This window comes from Homo sapiens, chromosome 4 (assembly GCF_000001405.40).
Source record: "Homo sapiens chromosome 4, GRCh38.p14 Primary Assembly".
In the NCBI taxonomy this organism is placed as follows: domain Eukaryota; kingdom Metazoa; phylum Chordata; class Mammalia; order Primates; family Hominidae; genus Homo; species Homo sapiens.
In genome coordinates, this window is record NC_000004.12 from 9,475,331 (window position 1) to 9,489,089 (window position 13,759).

At 45.5% G+C, this 13,759-nt stretch overlaps 1 long non-coding RNA gene and 1 pseudogene across 1 annotated transcript; both read left to right on the plus strand.

Annotated features, from left to right (window-relative positions):
* The first annotated feature begins 4,496 nt into the window (after positions 1–4,496).
* Positions 4,497–5,383, plus strand: LOC124900662 (uncharacterized). The gene is made up of 3 exons (XR_007058022.1): positions 4,497–4,768; positions 4,904–5,094; positions 5,239–5,383. It is a non-coding gene; the product is annotated as an uncharacterized LOC124900662 (long non-coding RNA).
* Positions 8,273–9,500, plus strand: OR7E85P (olfactory receptor family 7 subfamily E member 85 pseudogene; annotated as a pseudogene).

The following is a 13,759-nucleotide window of genomic DNA, read 5'->3' on the forward strand; positions in this document are numbered from 1 at the left end:
ATCACCTCCCCCTCTGAAGATTTTGAGCCTTTTCACTGACCGGTGTACATCCTTTGTGTACAGAGGTTGTACACTCGTCTGTATTTGGTGTCATATCATTCTCTTCCTCCCTTAATATTAGGAACAGTATCACAGGGGTGTTTCTACTCCCTGCGATATCGGGTGTCATGTCCTTCTCTCCCACGTTGCAATTAGAAACAATATCATTGGGGTCGTGTCCACCTTCTGTGATATTGAAAGTAATATTATCCTCTTCTTTCCAGGATCATGGAAACGATATCCTTGGAGGTTTCCAATTTCTGCCATATATGTAGTCATATCACCTCCTCCTCCTTGGAATATTTTTAAGGACCATCTCACTCGAGTGTGTAGACTTCCTGCGATGTTGGGAGTAATACATTCTCTTCTTCCGTGAATATTAGGAGCAAAATAACCGGGTGGATGCACACCCAGTGCTATATTGGGAGTAACGTCATACTCCACCCCATGGAGATTATATTCGGATCAATATCACCGGCTGGGTGTTCTCCTACTGCGATATTGAACGTAATATCATGCTCTCTCCCTACCTGGACATTAGGAACAATATCACAGGTGGGTGTACAACCACTGAGGTAATAGGGCGTAATATTAGTATGAATTATTCCTCATTTATTATTAACATGAATATGAATGACCGATATTAATATTCATATTAATTAATAATTGCTAATAAAGGTTTTCCCATTATTTATATTAATATTAATTATTAGTGGCTAATATGACTGTTTTCTAATGAGTAAAGTCAATATCAGTTACTAATATCAGGCGTCATTAATCATTAATATTAATCATTTATTGTTATCCTTAGTGTAACTATTTAATATTAATTATCGTTATTATCGGTATTGATTTTGAAAATTATATTATCGGTTATTAATGTTGATAATTATTTTTGTGAATAATTGAGATTATTAATTGCGTTAATTCGCATTGCGCCATTGCACCCCTCCCCCGGCAGCTGGTTTGCGACGCCAAACCGGGACACAAATGCCCCTGAGAGCAGCGGTATGCTGTGATAGAGGAGGATGGTCACGTGGTGCAGACGCGTGTTTTTGGGAACCAGCCCTTCACCTGTGTCGACCTTCTCAACTGGAAAAACAATACACCGCCCTATACCGAAAAGCCAGAAGCCCTAATTGATTTGCTCCAAGCTGTTATCCAGACCCACAACCCCACCTGGGCTGATTGGCACAAGTTGCTCATGTTCCTCTTTAACAGCGAAGAAAGGCGGAGAGTCCTCCAAGCAGCAACTGAGTGGCTAGAGGAACATGCACCAGCTGATTATCAAAACCCCCACGAGTATGGAAGGACTCAGTTGCCAGGAACCGACCCCCAGTTGGACCCACATGAAAGAGAGGATATGCAAATGCTAAACCGAGACAGGGAAGCTCTCTTGGAAGGATTAGTGAGGGGAGCTCAGAAGGAAACAAACGTTAACAAGCTCTCTGAGGTCATTCAGGGAAAAGAAGAAAGTCCGGCACAATTCTACGAGAGACTGTGTGAGGCCTACGGTATGTATACTCCCTTTGATCCCGATAGCCCTGAAAATCAGCGCATGATTCACATGGCTTTAGTCCGTCAAAGTGCAGAAGACATGAGAAGAAAACTGCAGAAACAGGCTGGGCTTGCAGGGATGAATCCATCCCAATTACTAGAAAGAGCTAGCCAGGTGTTTGTAAACAGGGATGCAGTAAGCCATAAGGAAAACAGCAAAGAGAATGGAGGTCAGGCCCGGTGACAAGCCGACCTGTTTGTCAGCTCCAGCAATCACAGGGCCCCCCCAAAGAGGCAAGGGAAGGAGGGCCCTGGGAAAGAAAATCAGCTTGGCTGTCAGAGTTTGCAGTGTAACCAGTGTGCTTACTGTAAAGAAATAGGACAGTGGAGGAACAAATGCCTTCAGCTCAAAAGAAAACAAGGTGACTCAGAGCAGGAGGCCCCGGACAAGGAGGAAGGGGCCCTGCTCAACCTGGCAGAAGGGTTCTTGGACTGAGGGAGAGCGGGCTCAAGCGTCCCCAAAGAGCCTCTGGTCAGAATGACAGTCAGGGGTGGAGACATTGACTTTCTTGTAGATAGCAATGCTGAACATTCGCTGGTAACCGCCCCAGTCGCCCCCTTATCCAAAAAAACTATTGACGTCATCAGAGCCACAGGGGATTCAGCAAAGCAAGCTTTCTGCTTGTCTCGGACTTCTACTGTAGGAGGACATAGAGTCATTCATCAGTTTTGGTACATGCCTGACTGTCCCTTGATCTTTTTGGGAATGGACTTGCTCAGCAAGCTGAGAGCCACTATCTCTTTGACAGAGCATGGCTCTTTGCTGCTAAAGTTTCCCGCCACGGGAATCATTATGACCCTTATGGTCCCCGGAGAGGAGGAATGGAGACTTTTCTTAACTGAGCTGTGCCAAGAGAGAAGACCAGCTCTGGCTAAGCGGTGGCCAAGAGTACGGGCAGAAGACAACCCTCCGGGATTGGCCAGTTAAGACTGGGGCCCAGCCGGTGAGGCAGAAACAGGATCCGGTCCCCAGAGAAGCCCTTCAAGGTATCCAGGTCCGTCTCAAGCACCTAAGAACTTTTGGAATTATTGTTCTTTGTCAGTCTCCACGGAACACTCCCCTCCTGCCTGTTCCCAAGCCACGGACCAAGGACTACCGGACGGTACAGGATTTGCGCTTGCTTCATCAAGCTACGGAGACTTTCCATCCAACAGTACCTAACCCGTCCACATTGTTGGGGTTGCTGCCAGCTGAGGACAGCTGGTTCTCCTGCTTGGACCTGAAAGACGCTTTCTTTCCTATCAGATTAACCCCTGAGAGGAAGAAGCTGTTTGCCTTTCAGTGGGAAGATCCGGAGTCAGGTGTCTCTACTCAGTACACTTGGACCGGGCTTCCCAAAGGGTTCAAGAACTCCCCCACCATCTTCGGGGAGGCGTGGGCTCGAGACATCCAGAAGTTTCCCAGCGGAGACATAGGCTGCATGTTGCTCCAGTAGGTTGATGACCTTCTGCTGGGACACCCCACGGCAGTCGGGTGTGCCAAGGGAACAGATGCCCTACACCGGCACCTGGAGGACTGTGGATAGAAGGTGTCCAAGAAGAAAGCTCAGATCTTCTGGCAGCAGTTACGTTCCTTGGGATTGACTATCTGACAGGGGTCGGAACGCAGCCCGGGATCAGAATGAAAGCAGGTCATTTGCAATCTAGCGGAGCCTAAGAGCATAAGGCAAGTGAGGGAATTCTTAAGACTGTGGGGTTTTGTAGACTGTGGATCCCAAATTTTGCAGTATTAGCCAAGACTTTGTATGAGGTCACAAAGGGAGCGGGGACCGGGAAACTTTGGAATGAGGATCCCAACAACAGCAAGTCTTTCATGAGTTAAAGGAAAAACTTCTGGCAGCCCCAGCCCTGGGGCTACCCGATCTGACAAAGCCTTTTCCATTGTATGCATCAGAGAGAGAAAAGATGGCATCTGGACTTTGAACCCAAACTGTGGGGCCCAGGCCGAGGCCGGGGGCCTACCTCCCTAAACAACTGGACGGGGTTTCTAAAGGATGGCCCCCCTGTTGGAGGTCCTTGGCGCAACTGCCCTGCTAGTACAAGAAGCAAATAAGCTGACTCTTGGGCAGAACCTGAACATAAAGGCCTCCCATGCTGTGGTGACTTTAATGAATGCTAAAGGACATCACTGGCTAATGAATGCCAGACTCACCAAGTACCAAAGTTGGCTCTGTGAAAATCCCCATATAACCATTGAAGTTTGTAACAGCCTACACCCCGCCACCTTGCTCCCGCTATCAGAGAGCCCTGTCGAGCCTGATTGTGTAGAAGTGTTGGACTCAATTGACTCTAGCAGACCTGACCTCCGGGACCAGGCTTGGGCATCAGTAGACTGGGAACTATACGTGGATGGGAGCAGCTTCTTCAATCCCTAAGGAGAGAGAGGTGCAGGGTATGCAGTGATAACCCTGGACACTGTTGTTGAAGCCAGATCGTTGCCCCAGGCCACTTCAACCCAGAAAGCTGAACTCATTGCTTTCATTCGGGCCTTAGAACTCAGTGAGGGTGAGACTGTCAACATTTACACTGATTCTCGGTATGTCTTTTCAACCTTTCAAGTGCATGGAGCATGATAGAAAGAAAAGGGCCTATTGAACTCTGGGGGAAAAGACAGAAAATGTCAACAAGAAATCTTGCAATGATTAGAAGCAGTATGGAAACCCCACAAGGTGGCAGTTACGCATTGCAGAGGACACCAGCGAGCTTCCACCTTGCTGGGCTTGGGGAATTCCCGCGCTGACTCAGAGGCTCGAAAAGCAGCATCTGCCCCCTTCCGGGCATCAGTGCTCCCTCAAGCACCTGATCTTGAACCTACCTATTCTAAAGAAGAAAAGAACTTTCTCCAGGTAGAGGGAAGGACAAGTGATGGAGGAAGGATGGATTCGGTTACCAGATGGGAGAGTAGCTGCGCCACAGCTGCTGGGAGCTGCAGTTGTACTGGCTGTGCAAGAAACCACCCATCGAGGTCAGGAGTCACTGGAAAAGTTGTTAGGCCGGTATTTCTACATCTCGCCTTTGTCAGCCCTTGCCAAAACCGTGAGGCAGCGATGTGTTACCTGCTGACAGCATGATGCGAGGCAAGGTCCAGCCATTCCGCCCGGCATACGAGCTTATGGAGCAGCCCCCTTTGAAGGTCTAAAGGTGGACTTCACAGAGATGCCAAAGTGTGGAGGTGACAAGTATGTACTAGTTCTTGGGCGTAATTACTCTGGATGGGTGGAGGCCTATCCAACACGAACTGAGAAAGCTCGTGAAGTAACCCCTGTGCTTCTTTGAGATCTCATTCCTAGATTTCGACCGCCCTTAGGTATCGGCTCAGACAAGGGGCCTGCGTTTTTGGCTGCCTTGGTACAGAAGACAGCAAAGGTATTGGGGATCACACGGAAACTGCATGCTGCCTCCCAGCCTCAGCGTTCCGGAAAGGTGGAGCGGATGAATAGGACTATCAAAAATAGTACTATTGTCTTCCCCCCTGGGTATTGGAAACAACAACACAAGGTGCGTCAAACCACCTGCTACATTTGAGGGAATGTTATCCTCTCCCCCCATCCCCCGGCCCCGGATATTAGAGACAATAACACAGGGGTGATGTACACCCACTGCTTTATTGGGAGTAATATCCTCTCCCTTCCTGGATATTAGGAACAATATCACACTGTGCGTGTACGCTTGTCGCGAAATTCAGTGGAATGTCATCCTGCGCCTCCCTGGATATGACGAACAATATCACAGGGTATGTACAACTTCTGAGATATTGGGAGTGATATCATCCTCTCCCCTCTGGAAGTTAGGGACAATATCACAGGTGTAGTGTACACACTCTGGGATGTTGGGACTAATATCCTCCCGCCCACTGGATATTAAAAACCATATCACTAGGGGCGTGTACACACACTTCAATATTGGTATGAATATCATCCTCACCCTCTTTGGATATTCGGTGCCATATTTCAGGTGGAGTATACACCACCCGCAATATTGGAAGTAATATGATTTTCTCCCCCCCCCCCGGATATCAGAAACAATATCACAGGGGGTTGTGAACAACCTCTGCGATATTTGGAGTAATATCATCATCTCCCCTCATGATTATTAAGAACAATATCGTAGGGGTGGGGGATGTACATCCCCTTTCATATTAGATATCATCCTCTTCCCCCTGGATATTAGGAGCAATATCAGGAAGGGATGCACAGACCCTGCTACCTTTGCTGTCATATAATTGTCTCTCCCCCAGATATTAGGAAAAAATGTCACTGGGGATGTGAACAGCCCTGCGATATTGACAGTAGTATCCTCCTCTCCCCCGCTGCATACTGGGAACAACATCACAGGTGGGGTGTACTGCCTCTGTGATATTGAGAGTGAAATTTTCCTCTCTTCCCGTGGACATTAGGAAGGGTATCAGAAGGGGAGGGTGTACATTCCCTGTGATATTCAACGTAACCTTATCCTCTCCCTCCCAGGGTATTCAGAACAATATTACAGGAGGGGTGTACACCCTCTGGGATATTGAGAGTCATATCATCCTCTTTCGCTCTGGATATTAGGAACAATATCACAGGGTTTGTACCCCCCCCCTTGCGATATTGGGAGTCATACCATCCTCTCTCCCTATGGATATCAGTAAGAATATCAGAGGGCTGTGGAAACCCCTTGCGGTACTGGGAGTAATACCATCGTCTCTCCCTCTGAAAATAGGAGGATTTTCACAGGGATGTGTACACACCCTGCGATATTGGGAGTAAGATCATCCTCTTCACCCAGGAAATGACTAACAAGGTCAAGGGGGGGCGTACTCCCCCTGCGATATTGGGAGTCATGTCGTCCTCCCCAAACCTGGATGTTAACAACGAGATCACAGAGGGGGTGTACACACCCTGCGACATTGGAAGTAATATGATCCTCTCCCCACCTGGATACTGGGAAGGATACCACAGCACGGGTATACGTTTTCTATGCTGTTGGGAGTAATATCATTCTTTTCCTTTCTGGATATTAGCAAGAATATCACAGGGGTGCTGTACAATTACTTCGACATTGGGAGTAATATCATATCATACTCTATTTTCCTGGATATTGGGCACAAAAACACAAAAGGGTGTACAACCCCTGCGATACTGGGAGTAATAGCATACTCTTCTTCCCTAGATGTTAGAAAACAATATCATCAGGGCTGAACACTCCTCGCGATAATGGGAGTCATATTTACTCTTTCACAGGTCATTTGGAACAATATCACAGGGGGTGTTTACAAACAGAGGTGGTGTACACCCCCTGTGATATTGGAAGTAACATCATTCTCTCCACCTACTGACATTAAGAACAATACCCCAGCGGGAGGTGGTACACCCCCAGTGATATTGCGAATAATGTCATGCTCTCCTTCCCTGGATATTAGGAACAATATCACAGGGGGGTGTACACCTTCTGTGATATTGGAAGGAATATCATCCTCTCCCCCGCTAGATATTAGAAAAAAATATCACTCACGGTGTACACCCACTGTGATATGAGGAGTAATATCTTCCTAGGGTATTACGAATAATTTCACAGTCCGTACACACGTGCTGTACACTCACTGTGATATTAGGAGTAATATCTACCTAGTAGATAACAAATACCATAGCAGGGTGTACACCCACTTTGATATTAGCTGTAATATATTTCTAAGTTGTTACAAATATCACAGGGTGTACAAACATGGTGTACACTCACTGTGATATCAGGAGTCGTATCTCTGTAATATATTATGAATAATATCACAGGGTGTACACCCACTGTATTATTAGGAGTAATATCTCTGTAGGATATTACAATTAAGATCACAAGGTGTAGAGCCACCGTGATATTAGGAGCAATATCTTTCTAGGATATTACAAATAATATCACAGGGTGTACGCCCACTCTGCTGTCTGGAGCAATATCTCCCTAGCATATCAAAAATCCTATCACAGGGTGTCCAATCTCTGCCTTCCAGGTTCTAAGGGATTCTCCTGCTTCAGCCTCCCGAGTAGCTAGGGTTACCAGCCACCACGCCCGGCTAATTTTTTTTTTTTTTTTTTCACTGGAGATGGGGTTTCACCATGTTGGCCAGGCTGGTCTGGAATTCCTGACCTCAGGTGATCCATCAGCCTCGGCCGCCCAAAGTGCTGGGATTACGGGTGTGAGCCATGCCGCTGGGCCAAGAGTTATATATTCAATTCATTTGGAAACACAGCTCCCATCTTTGAGCGTGCATGTACTTTTATGAAGAAATGATGTCAGAAAACCGAAGGATGATAATAAATATGAAAAGTAACAGGCATGTGAAAAGGTCTCCCGATTGAGAACTATAAGGTTCGATGTCGTTTTCAGATAATGTGGTCCTAGCTCTTGTGTCGTCCTTTTACATATTCTACATCAATAGAAGTTGTAGCACGGTGTCAGAATAAAGTAGAGTGTATTTCACGGCTTCTTAATTTCTTTCAATTACACTGAGATCTTTTTCTTCAAGAGAGAAGGACATTGTCATGGCATTGTATTTTTTCTGAAAAGAGTAGGCTGTATTTTACTGAGATTACGGATTTGTTATATATGACGTTTTGGTCTTCTAATATTCTTCAGTGGATTTTCTCTAAAGTAGTATGTACAGAAAGCCTTGTATAGCAAAAAAGTAAATCACGTAATAATTCTGAGATTTTTGGAATTGTCACAACTGAGAAACATTGCTGGCGGTGTATGGACCGCAAGTGTGAAGATGTTCCTTGTGAATTGCTTGCATCCAGCATTAAGGGCTGGTTTTTATCTTTTATTTTTCCAATCCTCTTTCCTTCTCAAGGTGTCCAAGACACACAGAGCCACGGAATCTCACAGGTGTCTGAGAATTCCTCCTCCTGGGACTTTCAGAGGATCCAGAGCTGCAGTCGGTCCTCGCTTTGCTGTCCCTGTCCCTGTCCACGTATCTGGCCACGGTGCTGAGGAACGTGCTCAACATCCTGGCTGTCAGCTCTGACTCCCCCCTCCACACCCCCATGTACTTCTTCCTCTCCAACCTGTGCTGGGCTGACATCGGTTTCACCTCGGCCACGGTTCCCAAGATGATTGTGGACATGCAGTCGTATAGTAGAGTCATCTCTCATGAGGGCTGCCTCACACAGATGTCTTTCTTGGTCCTTTTTGCATGTATAGAAGGCATGATCCTGACTGTGATGGCCTATGACTGCTTTGTAGCCATCTGTCGCCCTCTGCATTACCCAGTCATCGTGAATCCTCACCTCTGTGTCTTTTTCGTTTTGGTGTCCTTTTTCCTTAGCCTGTTGGATTCCCAGCTGCACAGTTGAATTGTGTTACAATTCAACATCATCAAGAATGTGGAAATCTCTAATTTTGTCTGTGACCCCTCTCAATTTCTCAAACTTGCCTGTTCTGACAGCGTCATCAATAGCATATTCACGTATTTCCATAGTACTATGTTTGGTTTTCTTCCCATTTCAGGGATCCTTTTTTCTTAATTTAAAATCGTCACCTTCATTCTCTGGATTTCATCTTCAGATGGGAAGTATAAAGCCTTCTCCACCTGTGACTCTCACCTAGCAGTTGTTTGCTGATTTTATGGAACAGGCATTGGCATGTACCTGACTTCAGCTGTGTCACCACCCCCAGGAATGGTGTAGTGGCGTCAATGATGTACGCTGTGGTCACCCCCATGCTGAACCTTTTCATCTACAGCCTGAGAAACAGGGACATACAAAGTGCCCTGCGGAGGCTGCTCAGCAGAACAGTCGAATCTCATGATCTGTTCCATCGTTTTTCTTGTGTGGGTGAGAAAGAGCAACCACAGTAAATCTCTACATCTGCAAATCCTGCCCCTTAGTCACATTCTTTTTGTGGCTTGATGGCTTTTATTCCTTTCCGCATTTCCTTTGTGAATATTGCTTTCTTCGTTATGCCTTTCACTGGAATGGGTGAGGATTCTGGGACCCTTTGTTTAGCAGAAACCTTATCACAGAATCCTCTATACCTAAGCAGCCTCTTTTAGTTTCTGAGCAATAACCCTGTCATCCAGGTGGAATCACAACCATCTTTTTATATACACGAAGTCCTCACTTCGTTTTGCAATTCCCTGAAAACTGACTTAATGGAAACAATGTACAGGAGGTCCTCCAACACAATTGGTTGTTCAAAGTTGTGTAGTTATACTGTTGATGAAAAATAAGTGGTTTCACTATACATAATTTTGCTTCAAGGTGAAGTTTCCAAGAGAATTTCAAAGATGTTAAGTGAGGACATACTGTACATCAAATTCATATCCTCTTCCACAGTTCATGTGGAGTTTTTTTATGAACTGCTTCTAGAGAATCTATTTAGGCAGGTTAAGTGTAGAGATCCATGTTGCCGTTCTCAATCTTGGCTTTGAGTCAAATCACCTGGGGAGCTTACAAATGATGAGGCCTGGGTCTCAATACCTGAGATTCTGATTTCCTTGCACCTGTGTGAGTATGTGGATTTTTTTTTTTTCTTTTAAAGCACCACAGGTGGTTCCAATGACGAAGTTTTTAGAGGCATCAAGCTCCAATGAGTAAGAACAGAAATTAATTGTAATATGATTTCCTCAAATATTATCTTTAAATGCATTGTCCATCAACACCATACAAATGTTTATTATGCTGTTTTTTCTTACCATTTCGCATTTTCTATTTCTTTCTTTTCCTTATTTTTTGAGTCAGGGTTTCACTCTTGTTGCCCAGGCTGGAGTTCAATGTCACGGTCTCGGCTCACTGCAACCTCTGCCTCCCGTATTCAAGCAATTCTCCTGTCTCAGCCTTCCAAGTAGCTGGGATTACAGGCATGCGATACCATGCCTGGCTAATTTTTTCTTTTTTTTTTTTCGTATTGTTAATAGAGACAGTGTTTCTCCATTTTGGTCAGGCTGGTCTTGAACTCCCGACCTCAGGTGATCCGCCCGCTTCTGCCTCCCAAAGTGCTGGGATTGCAGGCATGAGCGACCGTGCCCAGCCACCACTTAGCATTTACATTTTACATTTCTTCAATATATAGATTTATACACACATTGATTGCTACTTTATTATACACTTGCATATACATAAGATGGGAAATAGAAAAGAATAAGATGGGCACAGTATCCCTGAAGTTTCACATTCCGAGACATTTTAAAAATATTTGCTCTTCAGAAATTTGTTTCAATGAAGAAACTGTGGTATACACACCCAGTGAAGTATTATTCAGCCTAAAAAGGAAGAAACTCCTCTCTGCTGCAGAGAAAATGGATGAGATTGCAGGTCTGTATATTAAATGAAATAAGCCAGGCACAGAATGACAAATTTTTCATGTCCTCACTTCTATGTAGGAAGAAAAAAGGAAACCTTGGCCAGGTGTGGTGGCTCAGGCCTGTAATCCCAGCACTCCGGGAGGCCGAGTCGCACGGATCACTTGAGTCCAGGAGTTCGAGACCAGCCTGGCCAACATGGTGAAACCCCATCTCTACGGAAAACACAAGCAATGAGCCGGGCTTCGTGATGCGTGCCTGTAGTCTCAGCTACTCAGAGGGCTGAGGCCCAAGAAGTGCTTGAACTCCGGAGGCGTAGCTTGCAGTGAACCCGGATTGTGCCTGCGTACTCCAACCTGGGCAACAGAAAGAGACTCCATCACACACCTACACACAAAAGGAATCTCAGGAAGGTGGAAAGTATAAAGGTGGTTGGCAGACGCTAGGAAGAAAACGGGTGGCATAGGGAATGAAGACAAGTGGATAATTGGGTCCCAAAATACAGAAAGATGGAATAAGTGAGTTCTAGTGTTTGATAGTACAGTATGAAAATTTTAGTTCACAAGAATTGCTTGCATATTTCCAGATGCTTTGGTAAGAAGCTTCCTAACTTTCTCATTATGCTGGTTTTTAAGCTCTTCTCTTTCTGCTCTTGAAATCATGCTGGGTTTTTTTTGTTTGTTTGTTTTGAGATGAAATTTCGCTCTTGTTGCCCAGGCTGGAGTGTCATGGTGCAAACTTTACTCACCGCAACCTCTGCCTCCTTGGTTCAAGCGATTCTCCTGCCTCCACCTCCCGAGTAGCTGGGATTACAGGCATGCATCAGAACGCCCAGCTAATGTTGTATTTGTAGTAGAGACAGGGGTTTCTCCCTGTCGGTCAGGCTGGTCTTCAACTCCTGACCTCAGGTGATCCGCCAGCCTCGGACTCCCAGAGGGCTGGGATTACAGGTGTGAGCAACCGCGCCCGGCCCATGCTGTATCCTTATCTGTTGTCTGTTGTTGTTTGTTTGTTTTGGAGACCAGAAATAACTTCTCACCTATATGTTCAAATGATTTTTCACATGAGTGCTAAGAAAGCTCATTGGTGGAAAAGCAGCCTTTTCAAGAAATGGTGTTGGAGAAACTTGATTTCCACATGCAGAAGAATGAAGGTGGACCCTATGTCACAACAGGTGCAAAAATTAACACAAACTGGATCAAAGACCTCACCCCAAGTGCTAAAAGTATCATACGCCTAAAAGAAAACATTGGCCCTACTTTCATGACATCAGATTGGACAATGTTCTCTGGGATATGATATCAAAAGCATAGGCAACAAAAGAAAATTAGATTCCTTGGATTACATCTAAATGACAGATACTTTTGTGCAGCAAAAAACACTGCGAACTGAGTGAAAAGATAACCCATGGATTAGGAAAAAGATTTGCAAAGCATATATCTGAAAAGAGGCTGATAGCCATCATATATAAAGAACAGCTAGAACTAAACAACAAGAAACCCAAAGCATCCCATCAACAATGGTCAGAAGACTCCAGTAGACGTGTTCCTAAAGAAGATATAGCAATGGCCAATAAGCATCTAAAATGATGTTCAAAATCACTCATCATAGGGAAGCACAAATCAAACCAAGAATGTGATACCACACATTAGGATGGATATGATAAACAAACAAGCATTGGTGAGACTAGAGGGAAGTAAGAATGCTCGAATATGATCGGAGGGAATGTAAAACCGTGAAGGAATGGGGAAAATAGTATGGCGTGTACTGGAAAAATTGGAAAAAGAATGATCAGATGTTCCCGCAGTTGCATTTGTGGGTACCTACCAAAAAGAATTAGAAGCCAGGAGTGGAAGACAGATTTGTGTACACCCATATTCATAGCAGCATTATTCACAACAGCCAAAATGTGGAAACAACCCAAGGGTTCGTGGACAGATGAATGAAAAAGCACACTGTAGTTCCTTCATACAATGGAGGATTATTCAGCCTTCAAAAGGCAGGCACTTCTGGCCGGTGCGGTGGCTCACGCCTGTAATCGCAACGTCTTGGAAGACCGAGGTGGGCGGATCACCTGAGGTCAGGAATTCAAGACCAGCCTGGCCATCTTGGTGAAACCCTGTCTCTACTGAAAATGCAAAAAATGAGACGAGCGTGGCGTCGTGTGCCTATAGTCCCAAGTACTCGGGAGGCTGAGGCACAAGAATGGCTGGAACCCGGGAAGCGGAGGTTGCAGTGAGCCCAGATTGTGGCGCTGAACTCCAGCCTGTGCGACAGAGTGAGACTCCATGGAAACACAAAACAAAACAAAGTCAAACGAACAAACAAAACAAACAAAAACAACAACAACAAAAAAAACAGAGAGGCACTTCTGACGCAGGCTGCAACATGGATGAACCTTGAAAACATTATCGTCACTGAAATAAATAAATCCCAAAAGGATAAACACGCCCAGTCTCAGTGGCTCGCACCTGTAACCCCAGCACTTGGGGAGGCTGAGCCAGGCGGATCACTTCAGGTCAGGATTTCGAGACAAGCCTGGCCAATATGGTCTCTATTAAAAATAAAAAATTATCTGGGCGTGGTGACGCACGCCTGTAATCCCAGCTACTCGGGAGACTGAGACACAGGAATCGCTTAAACCCACGATGTGGAGGTTTCAGTGAGGCGACATCATGCCACTGCACTCCAGCCGGGGTGACAGAGAAAGACTCTGTTTCCAAAACAAAAAAATTAAACACGGTATGATTCCACTTATCTATCACGTGTCTAGAGTAGTTAAACTCATAGAGTTGCACACTAGAAAGGTGGCCCGCAGGGGCGGGCGAGAGAGAGGAGTGGAGAGCTTGGTGAATGGGTGTAATTTCCATTTTGAAAGATAAAACTGTTCCGGAG